Here is a 21,347-nt window from a genome sequence, read left to right as displayed (position 1 = left end):
AAAGATCTGTGATTTCCATTCTCCTTTATAGTAATTGTTAAGCACTCACAATTAGATGGTTATAACAACTATCAAAGAAAAACAATTATTTTAATAAATATTTTTCATCATTTTCTCCTTTCTAAGCCCTATGCTATGCACTAAAAACTGCAGAGAAAATCAACACATTCTCTACCTCACAGCAGATTTCTTGGAGAGAGATAGGGGTGGGGAGGGGAATAAGGGTTGCTAAATGTTGTCAACTTTGTAATACAACTCTCAAAGGGAGATAGTTATTAGGGAGGCAAAGTGCTCAGGCTCAGATTTCAGGTTGCCTAGATTTGAATTCTGTCTTCACTGCTTCTTTTATGATTTGCCCAAATTACTTAAGCTCTTTAAACCACAGTTTCCTCATCCTTAAGAGAGGGATAATAAATAGAACTTATCTCATAAAATTACTGTGAGAATTATAAGTGATTATGAAGTTGATTAAATTTCCCCAGTGCTTCATACAAAGAAAGGACTCAAAGGATATGCTAGTTCATAGTAGGGGCATAGAAGAAGATATCCCTTCTCTCCTGGGATATAGGGTATACATAACTGTCCACTATAAAATTGAAGATAGGCTAGAGAAAAGCTAAAAATGAAGAATCTAATAACTCTTTAGCCAAGAGAAAATGAAACATGAGGGAAAGGGAGAAGTTCCAAATGAGGTCCACATTTGTCGTGGGCCACTGAATGGTGGTGCCATTCAGGCAGAGGAAACCCAGAAGGAGGAGTCATTCTGTAGTTAGAGGGCACTTAATGAGATAATATTAGAGATAACTGAGGTTGAGTTGTTGGTACGTATCTGGGTGCAAAGTCTCCATAGGTCCGGAATTTTGAATAGTTTTCTGGAGTCATCTGGTTATTGTTAAAGCCAAGAGAATTGGTGAGATCACAGAATACAATAATGATCAATAAGAGGGAAGGGAAGAGAGCCAAGAATGGGAGACTGGGAAGCATACACATTTAATTAAGGTTTGGTAAGGTGAAAGGTGTCAGCAGAGAATGTAAAGGTGAAATAATGAGAGAAAAAGGAGGACATCAAGGAGAAAGTCGTGTTTTGAAAAAAACAAAAAGGACACATTTTCAAGAAAGACATTGTCAATAGTTTAAATGTCACAAAATAGTAGAGTATAATGCATTTAAAAAAAACAAAATCTATTGCTTTTGTTAATTAAATGACTAGTAACCTCGGCTGCAGCAGTTTCAGTAGAGTGAGGAGAGTTGACACCAAACTGCACCAGTGGAGTGAAAATAAGTGGGAAGAAAGAGTGAGGAAGTGGAGGACAGTCTTTTTTTTTTTTTTTAATAAAAATATTTTCCCAAACTGTCTTTTCTGGAACTTCCAACATGTCTGCTTAAGAGCTTGTCTTAGTTGAATTCATTCGAACTTCTTGAACCTAATTAGTTTCTTTTTGCTGTTTTTTTTTTTTTTTTTTTTTTTTTTTTTTTTTTGAGATGGATCCTTGCTCTATCGCCCAGGCTGGAGTTCAATGGTGCAATTTTGGCTCACTGCAACCTCCTCCTCCTGGGTTCAAGCAGTTCTCCTGCCGCAGCCCAATTAGTTTTAAAGACGCTGCATATATTGGCAGGGAAAACCTAGAACACAAAGTCAAACTTCCAATTATCTCCCTTCAGTGCTCAAATCAAGAGTTCATTTGTTGCAAGGAATGGGGATCTGGACTCCAGGGAGAAGAATAGAGTTTTAGGAGGAAAGTTCTCCTAAAACTAAATGGAAGGAGGGTTCTTTGAGATACCAAGGATTTGCAGGACTTTATTTACAATGAAATGTTAGTTTCAGACAGCCCAGGAGGAATAGGTCTATTAAAGGAAAGCAAGAGTAGTTGGCGTAAGGAAACAATTTGCACTGGAGCCTGAGAGTGAGTATAGTAATGACCACATGAGAGACCCATTTGACTCAAGTACTTCAAAGCATTGCCAGTGTTAGTCTTTGCTCCATAATCAAGTGGGGAAAAAGTGAAATGTCTTTGAAGAGCATTTCCTGTAGGTGGCCTTTGAGGAGGTCCTGAAAATTCCAAACCTGCAAGTATTAATGGCAAAGAATAAAAATTTGTTTATATAAAATACTTTTAAAAATCTTTCTAAATAGCAAGACATTATATATTATCATTGTTAAAAGATAAACGAATTGAGAAATATCATTAGAATTATATGCAGCAGATAAAATGGTCACTTTTTTTTTTGAGACAGAGTCTCGCTCTGTCGCCAGGCTGGAGCACAGTGGCGTGATCTTGGCTCATTACAACCTCCAACTCCCTGGTTCAAGTGATTCTTCTGCCTCAGCCTCCCGAGTAGCTGGGATTACAGGCACGTGCCACCACCCCAGCCAATTTTTGTATTTTTAGCAGAGACAGGGTTTCACCATGTTGGGCAGGATGGTCTTGATCTCCTGACCTTGTGATCCACCCGCCTTGGCCTCCCAAAGTGTTGGGATTACAGGCGTGAGCCACTGCGTCCAGCCAAAAGGTCACTTTTTAAACTTAAAAATTATTAAGAAAACAGTGAAAACTTAATGTTTAAAAGAGTAGAAGATAGGGAAAATTATTACACAGAAAAAGATAAACAACAGAGAAAGATAAATAAATTGCCAGTGAATATGTAAAAAGTTGCTCAGCACCAGTGGTAGTTCAAATCCAAATAGCACTGAGTTAGCATTTGTTAACTAATAAATTGGCAAAAATTATATTTTGATAAAACCCAGTGTTGTTGACATCTCAAGAAAAAGGGCTATGCTCACACAGCCTTGGAGCATGTGCACATTGATGATTTTGTTGGCATAAAAATTAGTGGTTTCTATTAAAATCAGCAGTGTAATTCACAATCGCTAAGACATGGAATCAACCTAGGTGCCCATCAGCTGTGGATTGGATAAAGAAAATATGGTACATATATGTCATGGAATACTTTGCAGCCATAAAAAAGAATAAAATTATGTCCTTTACAGCAACATGGATGCAACTCGATGCCGTTATGCTAAGCGAATTAACACAGGAATAGAAAACCAAATACCACATATTCTCACTTATAAGCAGGAGCTAAACATTGAGTACACGTGGACACAAAGATGGGAACAATAGAAACTGGGGACTACTCGAGGGTAGAAGGAGGGAGGGGGTAAAGGTTGAAAAAAAACTACTATGCCTAGTACCTGAGTGATCAGATCAATCATGCAGCAAACCTCAGCATTATACAACATACAACATACCCATGTAACAAACCTGCACATGTACCCACTGTATCTAAAATCAAAAGCTGAAATTATAAAAAATAAAAAAGAAAATCAACAATGTGTATTTCTCTCACACAGCCATCACGATGATGTATTTGGAATAATATATGCATAAGGATGTTCATTGCAGTGTTGTCTGCAAGGGCAAAGTGAAAACAATCTGAATAACCATCAATATGACACAGAGTAAGTAATTATTGGTACGTCTGTACAATGCCTCATGCAGTCACCACTGACAGCATGGGAAAGAGAGACATCTATTATGAAAAGACCACTAAGACATATGATTACATGATAAGTGCAAGGTTCATGAATAAATAGTATGTATACTAGTATAGCATACTTCTTTCTAAGAAAGAAACCATAACACATACACGAATGGACAAGAAATTATTAACAATAGCTAACTTTGGTGATAAGACTGTAGGTTGTAAAAAGCCAGACTTTCATTTCTCATTTTAAACCCAATGAATTATTTAAATCTAACCCTACTGCATTCATTATCTTTATAATAAAATAAATATGTATAACAATGAAACATAGTTTTTAAGTATTTGGGACATAAATTAAACATTAATAGATTACACCTCTTAAACTTGGTACTTTAGTATCCCATTTCTCTGTGAGAACTCTGAAAGCTTCATCTTCCACAGTTTAGGTAATTCTTTGGTGTCTTATTTTGTTATTTTCTTGCCCTGAGATTAGCAATGTCAGATCTCCAAACTACTAACTCTTCTCTTTGGCAGATCAAATGCTTCTTCTTAAAAAAATTGATTTTTTAAAATGTATTTCATAGGATTTTTGTTCTCTCTCTCCCTCTTTTTGTGCATATGTGTGTGTGTCTGATTAGTCTTTATTATCTTAAAATGGTTAGTCCTGATAGACCTGTTTCTTCAAAATTTCTCTCAGTTCTTTGGCAGTTTGCTCTTAGCTTATAATTAAAGATCAATTTCTGACTTGTCTTGTTCTAGAAAACCTCAATGGAAATTACAGCAAGCTGAATAGGATATTAATTAAAAACATAAACCTGGTGAAACCCGAACATAGAGGCTCTAGTTCAAAGATGCTTCCAATAGTTGACATGGCCATTCATTCCTTAAAACCAGCTATTTTTCTTTCGAATTACATTACCTTTAATTCTGTAAATTGGATGTTATATAGTACCATGAAAACTGCTGTGAGTAATTATAATACTCATTGCTGAGTGATGTGACTTCTTTCTCAAGGCTATTTCTGAGGGAAATTGTACAATTAGATCTTTAGGTATTGTGACTTGTTTTGGAAATCATGGTGGCCCTCCAGGGAGCTAATGAATCTTTAATTATTTAGAGGTTCACATGAGACCCCTTACAGATATAAGCACATTAGCTCTGTAGCTAAGGGAACATTTAAAAACAGTAACATGAAATGTGTCAGACATAGAGGAAAGATGAAGAAGCAAGTAGAAGCTAATGCAAACAGAGGAACTGCCAGCTCTCTGTGGCACTCTAGCTCTCTCTGTCAGTATTTGGTTGGCAATGTAGACATAGTGGATGAGTGCAATTACATATGTTAGGCTCATTCTGAAATGCAGGAGCATTTTAGATTTTCATGTAGAAGCCTGACAAGCAAACTACATCTAGGATATACTTTGATAATTTTGAGTTGAGAGCCAAATTTTTTGAAGGTAAACCATCTCCCTGTTTTAAAGTAGTGTTTAAAATTATAAAAATATTAATACATCTGTAACATAAAATATTTAGATATAAATACTACAAGTGCAAATGAATTTTTTTTTCTACTTCTGCATTCAACTTTTCTCTTCTCCCTTTAGGGAAAACACTTTTGTGTAAAGGCCTCCAAAATATATGTAGAGGCGTATGTATGTTAAAAACATGTATACATATAATGCATAACCAAACAAATGAAATATCCTAAACATATGGACCTGAAAATTGCTTATAATAAATTTGAACTGAACATATAGGCATAAATGTGGTTCAGAAGTGTCCAGTTGAAGCAACTTCACTTTGTTAGGTCAACAAAAGTTGGGGACACTAAGATCTACTCCTCTGATTTTGTTCTAGCATTATCTTAATGGAAATGTTTACTGAAATGGAAATACATGTAGTGGACATCGTGGTGGTGTCTCAAGCATTCAGTGTTCCCTGCTCTCACACACTCCTAGCCAAATAATGAATTTCTCAGCTTCACAATGTTTAAGTGACATGAGTCCCATGTCCAATTCTTGGTCACTGTAATTGGTGCATGAAGGAACGTGTGCCTTCTGCTAATCAAATCAGAATGAAGTACAACTTTTTCATTCCATGATTGAAGAGGGAAATGCCTTCTTTCCAAATGCAGCAGAGGAAGCACGAGGTACTAGGATTGGAAGTTGTCTACTCATGACATGATATTTTAAGCCATAGAATAAAACTGAGACCTAATGTCTTAGTCCTTTCAGGTCGCTATACCAGAATATCACAGCCTGGATGGTTTATGAACAACATAAATTTATTTCTTACAGTTCTAGAGGCCAGGAAGTCCAAGATCAAGGTGTCAACAGATTCAGGGTCTAATGAGGATTTGTTTCCTGGTTCACAGACAGCTGTCTTTTTGCTGTGCCCTCACATGGTGGAAGGGGCTAGGAAGTTCTCTAAGGTCTCTTTTATAAGGGCACTAATCTCATTCATGAGGACTCTGTCCTCATGACCTAATCACCCCCTGAAGACCCACTGCCAAATATCATCACACTAGGGATTAGATTTAAACATACAAATTTTGGGGGGATACAAACATTCAATCTATATCACTTAAGGTAGAGTGAAGAAACAGGGAGGACAAGAAGCATTTATTTTGTGTTATTATTAAACTTCTGCATTAAACTATCTTGAGCCTATACTATTGTTCAAAATCTCTTTATTATACAAGCCATTTTGAATTTTGATTGTTTGCAACCAAAATTAACCTAATAAATTAAAATGTACTATAATGTTACATCATAATTTGTCTGTACTAGTAGTATTTGCTAGAACGTTTAGGGGAATACTTGCTTGTTAACTTTTTAGTAAATATAACACTCCATGTTCAAATACATTTGGAAAATACTGAGCATTTCACACTTTTAGAGACTCAAAACAGGCAGCACATTTTTAAAAAATAAAAATAAAACCAAATAGCATTGCATTTGGAGAATGGTATAAAAAAAGAGAATTTGATAAACTGGAGTTATCAGAACTCAGTGGATACTATGTGTTAGACATTATTATAAGCCATTAAACATTTTACAAGCTTGATATCTGAGTTAAAAATTAATAACCCAAAGACACATTGGAAGAGAAAAGTTGACATATTTTTATTATATTAATGACCTAAAAATATCATAGCAACTAACGTCATTATAGTCAACAAGTGAATGAACGTAAATAATATTAAATAACTATTAGAAAGTCTCTCTGATTAAGCATGGAAATAAATAAGCAGTGCTTTTGACCAATAAATGGAGGAGTTACAATACTTTCCAATACAAAACAAAAAGATTCTAAATGTAAAGGTATTAGGCCCAAAATATGTTAGTCAATTCATGACAGCAGAAATTCAGCAGGTCATATTTTTGAGGTAATGTAAATGACAATAGAAATCATGGACTAAAGTGTAACAAATAAGTAATATCTAGGCAGGTGGAAATTTTAAGATCTTTTAAATTAACTTCTGGACTATAGCAAAAATTCAAACTAAAATTCATCAGGGAGTCAGGGAAGGTCAAATGAAGAAGCATGGGGACTGAGGCAAAAACCCTGAATTATACCAATATTATCTTTTTTTTTTTGAGACAGGATCTTGCTCTGTTACCCAGGCTGGAGTGCAGTGGTGCAATCATAGTTCACTGCAACCGCGACCTCCTAGGCTCAAGGGATCCTCCCACCTCAGCCTCTTGAGTATCTGGGACTACAGAACCTCATCACCAAAACACCCATCTAATTTATTTATTTTTTGTAAAGATGAGGTCTCACTTTGTTGCTCAGGCTGACAAGTATTATCTTAATGTTATAGAAAAAAAGTAATTCTGGCCATATATAGGTATTATTCTTTGCAGTAGAATATCATTTCAGAAATTTGTGCCAAACATAAAATTAGTTTTCTAGTAGTAAAAAGTAATTAAACTCTTTAAATTATTATTACCCCTAGTATACTGGGGAATGGGTGTGTGTTCCAAATGAAAAAACTTGGGATGTCTAATGAGATGCTGTTTTCTGTCGCAGAAAATCTATGTAAAATGTTTTTTCTCACGTGTACACTGTTGATATTTGAGACAGCACATGTTAACACTTCAAGAAGTAAAATAAATGTGTTGATTATATCCACAGTTTTCATATTTATTAACTACATATTTCGTTTTTAATGTAATGCCTATTGAAAAACCTGTAAATAGTTGTTTCTTAAAATTGACAAATACTGCCTAAGATTTTTCTGTATATTTTCATATTTCAATTTTCCTGTGAGGTTAGAATGAACACTTTAGCTAAGACATTTGTGCCTCCAAATCCTAAACCTTTCAGAATGTTAGTTTATTATTTGGTTTTTACCTAAATTATTTTCTGCTTATTCAAGAACCTTAGGTCTATCCAGTTACGTTTTTATTTTTTTATTTTTATTTTTTTATTTTGAAACAAAGTCTCGCTCTGTTGCCAAAGCTGGAGTGCATTGGCATGATCTGGGCTCACTGCAACCTCTGCCTCCCAGGTTCAAGTGATTCTCCTGCCTCAACCTCCCGAGTAGCTGGGATTACAGGGGCATACCACCACACCCAGCTAATTTTTGCATTTTTAGTAGAGATGGGGTTTCACCATGCTGGCCAGGCTGGTCTCAAACTCCTGACTTCAGGTGATCTGCCCACCTCAGGATCCCAAAGTGCTGGGATTATAGGCATGAGCCACCATGCCTGGCTGTATCCAGTTACATTTTTAAGACCAGCCAGGCTTAATATATATTTGGTCTTTTGCTCAATTCAATTTGTTGCATTTTGTCCATTGTACTTCATGTGACACAGAATATATCTTAATTTAAAAAGACATATGTTTGTTGAGCTATCTGTTACGTTGGTATATCTTGGAATTTTAAAAAATATAAACCACAGAAGCCAATTATGGCTGACATTAACAATAAATAGGTTTATCACAGAAATAGTGGGGAACTTGTAGAACTGTTGAGAAGGCTAGAAAGCCAGATCAAAGCTAGGCAGCCAGGAAATGTACCCCAAACCATGCTGTAGAACTCATCCAGGGAGGAAACCACTGTCACCACCAGTAAGAAATAACACCGAAGATGCAGGCAGCAACAATTGCAGCAATTGCTCAATCCTAGGCTAACTGCAAAGCCACCAGCACCACTCCCACTTGTTCGCTTTGCAACAGATATTGTAGCAGCTGCTACATGGCCTCCACCAGAAACAAGAGAAAGCATAACTGAATCTGCTTCTTTTTTTATTAATTCCGAAGTGGAAATTCAGCACTGGCAAACAGATGGGCAAAACCTAAGTCATATGCTTGTACCCTAGCTGCAAAGGAGGCTGAGAAAGCAAGCATTTGGCATTTTAGCTTCTAAAGCAGGAGGTGGTTTCTTGTTTTCGTCAAAACTGAGAGGCTGAGGAATTCCTCAAACACAGCAACAAACATCAAATAATAAATTTTCATGCTTTAACTTGCTCAATATCAATATAAACTTTCCCTTTTGAAAGTAAACACGAAAGACCCAAGCTTCCTTCTAACAGAGTGCAACTATTTCTCTAATAATTGAACATGTACCTACAATCTCTTGAACAATGAAACAATAAAAAATTCTCAATCACAGCATGTACTCTAAGTCTAAGAATTCTGGGTTATGTCCATTCCTCTACGAAGTTCTTCACTATACTCTCTTGACATTCTGCCATATATCATTTAAAAATTAAGTTAATCACCCTCAATAAGCCCTGTTTTAAAAAGAGGGATAAATGGAGAGGAAAGAAGGAAAGTTGTTAAGATACATAAGTATGCACAGGACAATACAAGAGAAACAATGTGTTTGGATGTCAAGGCTCTCCTTTCTGCAAGTGGCCAGCAGGTCACTATTGGCATCTATGGCCATGTGCCCTCAGCTAACACCTCTGCTAGTCAGGGTTTTGCCTTGTGAGATGACCAAATATTCATTCCTGACAGAGAAATGTCCTTGATAATCTTTTTGTGTGAGCGTGCCATGGTCATTGTTAATTTCTTTCATTTAACAAAATAATAGACTTTATTTTTTGAGCAGTTTTAGCTTTATGGAAAGATCGAGCAGAAAGTACAGAGTTCTCACATACTGTCACCTTTATCCCACCCCCAGTTTACATTAGGGTTCACTCTTTGTGTGGTACAGGTCTAGGAGTTTTGCAAAACGCATAATGTCATGTACCCATCATTACATTATTACCAATGTATTTTCAATCCCCTAAAAATCGCCTGTTTCAGAACTATTTATCTCCCTACCCATCCCCAAACTCCTGGCAACCACTGAGCTTTTTTGTTGTTGTTGTTGTTACTTAGTTTTTATTTCATAATCATAAACTTAACTCAACTCTGCAATCCAGCTAGGCATGGAAGGGAACAAGGAAAACATGGAACCCAAAGGGAACTGCAGCAAGAGCACAAAGATTCTAGGATATTGCAAGCAAATGTGGTGGAGGGGTGCTCTCCTGAGCTACAGAAGGAATGGGTCTGGTGGTGAAAATAAAACACAAGTCAAACTCATTAGAATTGTCCACAGTCAGCAATGGTGATCTTCTTGCTGGTCTTGCTATTCCTGTACCCAAAGTGCTCCATGGCTTCCACAATATTCACACGTTCTTTCACCTTGCCAAAGGCCACATGCTTGCCATCCAACCACTCAGTCTTGGCAGCACAGATGAAAAACTGGGAACCATTTGTGTTGGGTCCAGCATTTGCCATGGACAAGATGCCAGAACCTGTATGCTTTCGGATGAGGTTCTCATCATCAAATTTCTCCCCATAGATGGACTTGTCACCAGTGCCATTATGGCGTGTGAAGTCACCACCCTGACACATAAACCCTGGAATAATTCTGTGAAAGCAGGAACCCTTATAACGAAATCCTTTCTCTCCAGTGCTCAGAGCACGAAAGTTTTCCGCTGTCTTTAGAATCTTGTCTGCAAACAGTTTGATGGAGATGCGGCCCAAGGGCTTGCCGTCGACGGTGATGTCAAAAAAGACGACGGAGTTGACCATGGCTGATAGTACAGGGCTCACAGTGATGGTGGCGTCTGCAAAGATAACCACTGATCTTTTTACTGTCTTTATAGTTTGTCCTTTTCCAGAATGTCGTATAGTTGAAATCACAGTATGTACCCTTTTCAGACTGGCTTCTTTCACTTAGCAAAATGTCTTTGTTTTTTCTGTATCTTTTTGTGGCTTGATAGTTTTTTCCTTTTAGCACTGAATAATATTCCACTGTAGGAATATACCACAGTTTGCTTATGCAGTCACCTATTGAAGGATACCTTGGTTGCTTCCAAGTTGTGGCAGTCTTCATTAATTTCTTTCTTTCTTTCTTTCTTTCTTTCTTTCTTTCTTTCTTTCTTTCTTTCTTTCTTTCTTTCTTTCTTCTTTTTTTTTTTTTTTTTTTTTTGAGACAGAGTCTTGCTCTGTCACCCAGGCTGGAGTGAAGTGGCACAATCTCAGCTCATTGCAACCTCTGCCTCCCAGGTTCAAGTGATTCTCTTCCTCAGCCTCTGGAGTAGCTGGGATTACAGGTGTGCACCACCACGCCTGGTTAGTCTTCAGGAATATTTACAGGACTGTATAGAATTAGGAGCCATCAAAGGGGATCCCTGAATTCTTTCTGTTTTTCTTACAAATACCAGTTTTAAGGTCAAGATTTACTACCCCATGCAACAATGTAGCCGCATTTTAAATTTTAAATTTTTGACAGTTTGTTTAAAGGTCTCAGGCAACCTAAAAGGCTAGATAGAAGTCTCTCATCCTCTAACGAAGGATGGATTGTAAAATGGAATACTGCTAAGACTCTCCCTTTGGGTACTAATTCTGCAAAAACCTAGAATCTCAGAGACAAGAGACAAGTATTTGGAGTGGATCATTAGATGTAATGACAAAAGGAGTCACTTCAACGTTCATAACAAATATCAAAGATTGTTGTATTTTTTATATGGGAGACACCAGACAAGCTTATACTTAGTTACTAGTTCAGAGGATACACCACCACATCGTCTAGCATGAGTACAACCTTATAAGCCATTGTCTCCAGCTGGCACTGTGATTGAGTCTTTAATAAAATATTCACCATTGTATAATAATAATAATTTTGGTTGGTGATAGGATAAATGGTGGACCAGGTGAGTCCAATGAATATCTACTCATTTGTTATACAACAAGTTCTTTTAATAGAAGGATGTAGAACAGGATATTATGGCAGTATATATAAGGCATTCAATGTACCCATGGAGAGTGGCGATCAGAGAAAAATGATGTCAGGTAAAGCAAATGTAATTCAAGGATAAAGGTAGATTCCATTTACAAAATTCCTTGTTGCCTTTATCATAGAGGAGCTCCAGTAAAATCAACAAGTCTGACAAAAGGTGACTGGTTTATTCACCCAGGATATGTTATTGTGTGCTTAGCCTTGGACTTTGTTGCTTGTGTGTTGGACACCTAATAGTCTTGACAGCTAAATAGGCTTTTGTAAGCGAGAGTGGTAAAGTCCAACATGTTGCTAAACCTATGTGTATTCTCTACTGCTACCACCAATGTTGCTGTTTATTAGCCTTCTGAGCAAGCAATGTAGTGCCTGGTGAAAGAGATTGTTTCATACCTTCATATCTATTTGATAACCTTCCTGATGATAGTTTGGTGAGCATTTGTATTAAGCACAAATATTCTTACACTCTGGCTCATTTTCTGTGGTTCATCTACATATTTTTTCCCCAAAACTCATTGCCACCAATCCTTCAGTGTTTGTCTTTCTGAGTCCCTAATTATCTTTTCTTTTCTTTTCTTTTTTTTTTTTTTTTGAGACAGAGTTTCACTTTGTTGCCCAGGCTGGAGTGCAGTGGTGCAATCTTGGTTCACTGCAACTTCTTCCTCCTGGATTCAAGAGATTCTCCTGCCTCAGCCTCCCAAGTAGCTAGGATTGCAGGCACACACCACCACATCTGGCTAATTTTTGTATTTTTAGTAGAGACGGAGTTTCACCATGTCAGCCAGGCTGGTTTCGAACTCCTGACCTCAGACAATCCACCTGTCCTGTCCTCCAAAAGTTCTGGGATTACAGGTGTGAACCATCAGGCCTGGCCCCAAGTCCCTAATTATCTAGACAAATTATTAGCTGCCACATATACATCAATAATATCTCTCCTTCTAGACATCGTGGACAACCAATTACATAGGCTGAATTTCTTTTAAAATTGCATTCACGTAGGTTATAATGCCTAAGCAATCTACTTTTGGCTGTTGCTGTGATGTTGTACAGTGACTTCTGTAAATCAGGCTCAATTTTTCCCTCACTAATCAACTGGCCATAGAGAACTTCCCATGAAGACATAGGTATAGATTCTATTATTCCTACCTGCTGATGAAGCAGGATAGTTAATTGGAAAACACTTATTTCATGATAAGCAGCTCATGTTGTCATATTTTTTTGCATTGATAGGACTTCAGTTTCTACAATGGTCCAGGATCAATCAAGAGTTCTTTAAAGAAAACATTTATTTTGTCAAAGAAAGAAGCATTTTGTTCCAAATCCTAAGAACAATAGTAGTGGTGTGTCAGAGGCTCTATTGCATCTGGATATAAAAACAAAGGGGCACAATATTCCTGACCAGTTGGGAATTATTATCTTGATCTCAATCCCATCAAAAGGTGGCAGCATGACAAGTCATGAAGTAAAAGGACCAGGTGATAAAATGAGGTCTCCAAAATCCAAAGCATCAAAGTTCTCAGTTAGTGGACAGGGCTGCAAAGTGCCATAATTTTTCACTTTGGAAGGTATATCTTGAGAATATTGAGTGTATGAGACAAGTTAAAAGGTCATGCAGCCAGACGCGGTGGCTCACGCCTGTAATCCCAGCACTTAGGGAAGCTGAGGTAGGCGGATCATGAGGTCAGGAGTTCAAGACCAGCCTGGCCAATATGGTGAAACCGCATCTCTACTAAAAATACAAAAATTAGTGGGGCATCGTGGTGCCCTCCTGCAGTCCCAGCTACTTGGGAGGCTGAGGCAGCAGAATCGCTTGAACCCTGAAGGCGGAGGTTGCAGTGAGCTGAGTTGGCGCCACTGCATCCAGCCTTGGCAACACCGCGAGACTCTGTCTCTTAAAAAAAATAAAAAAATAAAAATAAAAAAATTTAAAAGTTCGTGATTAACACCTCTGTTAGCCTCTGATCTTTATAATAATTATCACACACACACAAACCAAACACCACACATAGAGGAAACAGTAAAAGATTAAAGGACACAGCTAAAAATACATTTGTATTATTACTTCCCAAAGTTCTAAAATTATGAGAAGGGACTAGTGAATCTTTAAAAAATATTGATTATCCAACACTTTTTAATAACCAGTATAATTGCATTGAAGGCTACTGAACATGCACATGTTCCTAAAATTTTTCTGTTATGGTGTCTGGTTTGCGAAAGGAACAAAATTAAACATAGTTCCTTGGCAATTTTTCCCTCTTCCACTCTACTAATTGGCGTATGTGCGATGTGTGTTTATTGTAAAATAGGAATAAGATTCAGAGGTCAAGAATCAAAGTGAGTCAGAGTAGGAAAAGCCAGACTCAAGCATAACAGAAGGGCAGAGCCTGTCAAACCCCAAAATTAAAGGGTAAATTTCAACACAAGTAGAAGTGGTTCAAAAGCTAAGGGCATCCTCATAGTTCATGAAAAGCAAGTATTCACGCAGGTAGCAGACTCTAATCTGCTTCAAGCCAATGTGCTATTCTCTTCGTGTTATTTATATCCCTCAGAATACCTCAAAGTTCCCAAGAGCAGTCAGTATTTAACTCTAAACTATATCATCTATATGATATATTTATTATATATAATATATATATTATATGTATTATATATTATATATTTATTATATGTATAATATATATTATATATTTATTATATATATAATATATATTATATATTTATTATATATATATTATATATTATATATTATATTTATATTTATTATATATATAATATATATCTGTTTATTATTATATATTTTTTTGAGACGGAGTTTTGCTTTTGTTGCCCAGGCTGGAGTGCAATGGTGCTATCTCGGCTCACCACAACCTCTGCCTCCCAGGTTCAAGTGATTCTCCTGCCTCAGCGTCCTGAGTAGCTGGGATTACAGACATGTGCCACCACGCCTGGTTAATTTTGTATTTTTAATAGAGAAGGGGTTTCTCCATGTTAGTCAGTCTGGTATTGAACTCCCATCCTCAGGTGATCTGCCTGCCTCGGCCTCCCAAAGTGCTGGGATTATAGGTGTGAGCCAACGTGCCCAGCCAACTATGTAATATTTTAATTGTGTAGTGATAACCCTCATCAAAAGGAGTATTCATTATGGCCAGTGTACTCTGCTTATTTACCACTAAAGCTTAACACAAAATTGTTGAAATAAACATGCATATTGAAGTACTTAGCTAGCTATTGAGGCAATACAGGTTTCTAGATTTACTCATTGTTTTCACTGTACACACATGTCATGTGTGTCATGATAAACCCATGTGTGTGCATATATTGATTAAATATTATATTTCTTTTTACTTTTATTATTATTATTGAGAAAAGGTCTCACTCTGTCGCCCAGGCTGGAGTGCAGTGGCACAATCTCGGCTGCCTGCAGCCTTGTCCTCCCAAAGCCCTAGACCCTGTAACATAATAGAATATGTATGTTTCTAATTTGTGCAATATGGAAGCAGGAATACTACATAGAACTGTCATCTTTTCCTATTGCATTTATTTTGGTGTGGAAAAATCTAATAATTGGCTTCAGTCAGTAAGTCTATTTCATTCAAGAATATTTAAATATAATCCAAACCATCTTAGATACATTTTGTGATACAAGAGGATGGTATCTTCTATTTGGAAATATAAAATCCCAGGGTCTCACAGTTTAAGTATACTTTCCAGGGGTATGTATAAAACAAGAATCCCACTTTACAAAGTTAATAGAAAAAAAATATGCTAATTGGAAGGAGAGGCTTCTGATTGAGGATAAAGTGGAAATTTTCACATACTGCTAATTACACTTTAATGGAGTAAGAAAAAAAGAATTGGAAATAGTACCCTATAAAACTTCTGAAATGAAATTACAGTTTCTCTCTCTCTCTTTCTTTTTTTTTTTTCTTGAGATGGAGTTTTGCTCTTGTTGCCCAGGCGAGAGTGCAAAGGCGCTATCTCAGCACACTGCAACCTTCACCTCCCGGGTTTAAGTGATTCTTTTGCCTCAGCCTCCCAAGTAGCTGGGATTACAGGCATGCACCACCATGCCCGCTAATTTTTTGTATGTTTAGTGACCCACCACGCCTGGCTGTCTCCTCTTTTTAGAATTAGGAGAACTGATTTTTTTCAGTGCTAAACTGGCACTGTCCTATGTTTTCAAGAAAGCAATATGGTGAAATGGAAGAGTCTGGATAGCATGTTTTGTTAGCTGGTGTCTAGTTCTTTAAGTTCCATGAGTCTATTGTGTCTTCTTTACATCTCAAAAAGAAGAGAGAAGAAACCTGCATCTAATTACTGAAGCAGTTTCATTCAGCAAATGTAATTGCATCGCAGGCACATCTCAAATTAAAAATCTTGATCTTGGTCTCTGTCATTTCCATTTTAAACTGGGACTGAATAACCTGTTTTGCCACTCAAAATAATAGCCAGTGTCTCTTTCTTATTAAAATATGTGATCTTTTGCTTGATTACCTAATTATGTCACCTGCACCTTACGTGAGGCAGATAGAAGAGTCTTCCAGTCTGCCAGAGCAGATCTACCAAACTAGACTGCACATACAAATTACCTGGGGATCCTGATAAATTACAGATTCTGAGTCTGCTTTCAAAGAGGGCCTCAAGTCAAGCTGATGGTATTAGTCCCAGGATCCCTCACTGAGTAGCAAGGTCTTAGAATTAAAAAGTGTGCAAGTATAAGGCCAGGAGCAGTGGCTCATGCCTGTAAGCCCAGCACTTTGGGAGGCCAAGGCGGGTGGATCACCTGAGGTCAGGAGTTCGAGACCAGCCTGGCCAACATGGTGAAACCCCGTCTCTACTAAAAATACAAAAAATTAGCCAGGTGTGGTGGCACGCACCTGTAATCCCAGCTACTCAGAAGGCTGAGGCAGAAGAATTGCTTGAACCTGGGAGGTGGAGGTAGCAGTGAGCCAAGATCACGCCACTACACTCCAGCCTGGGCTCCAGCCTGGGCAACAACAGCAAAACTCCATAAAAAAAAAAGTGCAAGTTTATAAACATGGAAACGTGGACAATTGTAAGCAATATTAGAGAACTGTAGAAAACAATTTTTTAAGTGATATGTTTAACCTATTTAGAATAAAACCCATTAGGGTCCTAGGAATTTCTGGAACTGCCTTACTTGTGAGAAACATGATCCTAAGATGCCCATTTGTTTATCAGTACATCAATTTTCTCCTTCTTAAATTGGTATAATTATTTTCTTCCAAGAAGCCTAGCACACTTTTGTTGTTGTCATTGAAAGAGGGCATATAAGGGTTATGGCTGCTATTTGGAGAAATGCATTAGAAAATAAAAAGCTTGAAAAAGTTGTATTACTGAGAAAAAAGTTGAATGAAAATAAGAAAGATTAAATTGAAATAAATAATGAATCAGTAAGGTATGCACTGTTAAACACTTGATGGGATTTCCCAAGTATTGACATGCTGATAACTTGAAATAAGAATGGGAGAAAAGGTCAATCTGAATTCTTAAAATGTTGAAGGCTGGGAATAAGAAGTAATATATCACAGAATCTGATAGAAAAATTTTTATTTATTTTATGGGAGAAAATGGGAGACTAACAGACAATAGGAATAGGAAAGAATTAATAGAAATAGCAAAAAGAAGTGTATCTGCAATTATTAATATAATACAAGAGGAAATTGTGTAGAGATATTTAAAGAAAGATTGATGAAATTTAGATTTATGGAGAAATATCCTAATAAAGGCATTATTTATAATCAACTGTTCATAATTATTATATAATTCTGACAGTTTTTAGGATATAAATGTAAGGCAGAATGATCTAATATAAAATGTATAAATGGGACAACATATAATTTTGCTTAGGAAATTGAATAAATAAAGTAGTGATTTACGATTTGCATTAATATAAAAAAATTTAAAATGGTTTACATCTTGTTTGAAATGGATGATAAACAGGAAAAGAGTAATTTAGTACATTGAGTAATTTAGTACATTGGTCACCAAAGAAATACAAATTGAAACTATAAGATGCCTTCTCCCATCTTTGTCAGATTTGTAGGTATAAAAACAGTAGTAGTTGTATTGGTTGGAGAACAGAAAGATGACACTTTCATATGCGGCTGATTAGAGCACAGATTGGTATATTATTTCTGAGATGCAATTTGAAAATATGTACCATCAGCCTCAAAGATGATTATGACCATGTGTCACTACTTTCTTGGAAATCATTATTAATGCATGTATAGATTGATGTTTACTGTAGTATTACTTAACATAATGAGTTGAGTACAACCTTCACTCCCAAAAAACATGAGGTAGGGGTGAATTAGTTAAATATACAATCACAATGAGCTATGACAAAATGCAGTTACTTAAAAGCACATTTATAAGACTATTAATGGCAATAAACATGATTTGATATAATTTTTTCAAAAATTAGGGGAATTCTATTCCTAGCATTGTGACAGACTAAATTTGCTGAATCACTATCCTGCTATATGAAATCTACAAATACCAGATAAAATGTACATGTCATTTTTCAAAAGTATATTACTGACTTGAATAGAAATTAAGGTGAACCACATAGGCCAAGCATAAGGAGAATACATAAATCCAGAGAGGTATGCAGACCCCCAAACCAGAAGCTTCCATAAGGACAGTCCTGGCCCTAGTACCCTGAGCTTCAATTTTTATGACCACCTGGGATATGGGAGAGTGTGAGACAAAACCTAGTGCCTGCCCAGTATAGCAGTCTTACAGGAGAAAACTGCTGAAAGCCAGAGATATGAAGGACTATAATTTCAGTGAAAGGATAAACTAGATAAAAACCTGTTCCTCAGGGGGAGACAACCAGGAAATTTTCCTGCCTCAAACTCGGTGCTATTTAGAGGAAAAATTAGAAGGCCATCTTCACATGAATTTGTGGTTTAAATTTTCACTGTAAGTATAATTTTAAAAAAACCCACACATGAAACTGATAATTTATTTTATAGTTATCCCATGTTGGTATTACCACCAAACACAAGACGAAGGCAAAGTGTCTTTGGAGAAACCCACATTCAGCCCATGTCTCAAAGAATGGCCACAGGTAAAATTTCATCCAAAATGAGAAAAAAGTAAGACTCTTACAAAACTCATGAGGAAATAAACATCATGAGCAGAAACAGAATTATGCCCATAAAGATTTCAGATATTAGGATGATTATATAACTATAAAAGCTGTGTTTAATAGGTTTAAAAAATCAATGAGGTGTGCCAGGAATATAAATTGAGACAGTGTATGTATCTTATGTTAAGCAGATTGAAACTGAACTTAAGAGATCTTTTAGAAATAAAAAATATAATGAAAATTAAAAACTAAATGGACAGGTTAAACACAATATTGGATAGAACCAAAAAGAAAATAAGTGAGTTGGAAGTTAGACTAAACAAATTATGCTGAAGACAGTACAGAGGAGGAAAGGAAAATGGATAGGTGAAATAGAGGTTGAAAAATTAGAGTATCTAATCATATCTGCAAAAGAAAAATTGAATTGGGGGAAGGTTATATTTAAGGTTATATTTAATATCTGAGGGCTTTTCATCATTGGAATTTATTAATGTTCAAGGAAACCTGGAAAGTTTTCTAACACATTAAAGGAGCTTTAATTATAAGTTCCAAATTCTTCTTAGAAGAAGAGAACCAGCAGGCCCAGACATTTTTACTGGTGAGTTCTATCAAATGTTTTCAAGAAATTGATTATTTCCATTTTATAAAAACAACTCCAGAATAAAAAAAGGTCCATTTGTTTGTTCATTTTATGAGGCCAGTACAACCTTGATACCAATGTTATATGAGAAATGTGTAAGACAGGAAAATTACATGCCAACTTTCCTCATGAACCTAACGGCAAACATTTTAAATTAAAAGTTAGCAAATTAAGTTTAGAAATCTGTAAAAAAGATAATATAGTATGAAAATTGTGTTTGTTCCATGAATGCAAGGATTTCTAACAATAGAAAAAAAACTATGTATAATTCATCACATTAACAAGTTAAAGGAGGAAAAGCAAATCATCATTGTAGAAGAGGCAAAAAGTGAATTCAATAAAATAAAATATTTAACTTTGACAAATCTTGTTTAGCAAACAAGAAATAGAAGAGCTTTCAGTGTTTGCTTATAAATCAGAAACTATTCTTCGTCTTTCAAGCAGAGGTGATTTAATACAGGTGATTGATTACACAAGTGATGGAAGCCAAACCAGGCTTGGTGAGTCAGCAGCTCAAGAGCAAGAAACCAGTACTGCCCCTAGGACTAGAAGGATCATGGAAGAAGGTGTTATTATCAGAGCCAAGGGGCCAGGACTTCAGGCAGGTTGCTAGAGCTAATGGGAATTGGGTCCATGGAGGGAGGGGCTATCTGGTGGGAAGCAGCCCTGCAGAGAAGAGGCAGGCTTTTATGGCATCTCTCACTGGATAGCCTACTGGGAAAATGGAGGGCAAAGGAGACTGGGAAATAAATGTTATTTTCCTGAAACATAGAACAGAGTTGGAGAGTAATTTGGGAGGGATCTGGGGGCAAATTTGTCAGGACCCAAGACATGATTAAAGCAGGCAGGGAAAAGAGATGCTGGTCAAAGCAGGTGGCCTTTGCTGGTATTTCAAAGTCCTAGTTTTAAAACTCAGAGGTTTTAAATTATTATCTTATTACTAATCAGATATTTTATACATATTTAATATATTTATATATTAAATATTTAATTATAATTCAAAACTTTTATGTACACTATAATCTCATTATTGTTTTCTATACTATTATATACAATATACAAATACAGAAATACAGAAATGTACCTCAGTTTGAAAGAGAATTTGAATATGAGGCAAAAAATACCCCCAAATTATAGTTACATTACAAGAATTGAATTTAAGAAGGAAGAAGCAAATTGCAAGAGATAAGACCAAGCCTCTTTAGTAATGATCATTCTAAATCCAATTGGTATAAATTTAGAGATGCACAACTGGATTGCAGTGTAACTAAGAAAGTTTGTGTGTCAAAAACCATATTTATCCTATGTGAAGAAATAATAGTTTCATAGGAGAAGGTTAATTGGCATGGAGTCTGTAAAAGAGAAGTTTGGATAGATGATCGAGCTATATATTTGTCAAATAATATCTAAAGGTAAAAAGATCTAGTTCACAGAGGCGAATCTCTGATTTTTTAATTTGCATTAACAGAAACAACATTGGAAGGGAGTATATTAAGATTTTAATAGTGACTATTTCTGCCAATGGTTTCTGTTTTATTGTTTACTATTTTCGGTATATTTCCAATGTTTCTTAATAAGTGTTTATTATTTAAAAAATGAGAAAACAGCAATGAGTAATTCAGTAAAATAAAATTTTTCAAAATTGTGACTGCTATGATTATGAGCCAATTATGAAAGAAAGAGACACAGATAGAAATAGGGTGACCAATCTTTCAACTTACTCAGGAATGAAGGATTTTCTGGATGGGGGATTTTTGTTGCTAAAATCGGGACAGTAGGGGACATATTGGGACTGTGGAAAAAGCCTACAGGGATTTATTTCCTAACTATGAATGTCTATCTTGGTCTAGAGACGACTGTTCTCATAA

The 21,347-nt window shown here is 36.2% G+C and overlaps 1 protein-coding gene and 1 long non-coding RNA gene across 2 annotated transcripts in view; both read right to left on the bottom strand.

Moving 5' to 3' along the window:
• LOC124904393 (uncharacterized) overlaps positions 1-21,347 on the bottom strand; it is a 38,233-nt gene that overhangs the window by 11,713 nt on the left and 5,173 nt on the right. The gene's annotated exons all lie outside the window — the stretch shown is intronic.
• PPIAL4A (peptidylprolyl isomerase A like 4A) lies at positions 9,806-10,565 on the bottom strand. Its single transcript, NM_001143883.4, has one exon. It carries the CDS (start codon positions 10,513-10,515, stop codon positions 10,021-10,023), a length of 495 nt encoding a protein of 164 aa, NP_001137355.1. The 5' UTR covers positions 10,516-10,565; the 3' UTR covers positions 9,806-10,020.

This window comes from Homo sapiens, chromosome 1, assembly GCF_000001405.40.
Source record: "Homo sapiens chromosome 1, GRCh38.p14 Primary Assembly".
Lineage (NCBI taxonomy): Eukaryota > Metazoa > Chordata > Mammalia > Primates > Hominidae > Homo > Homo sapiens.
The sequence above is the reverse complement of the archived record's forward strand: the minus strand, read 5'-3'. Positions and strand labels throughout refer to the sequence as shown.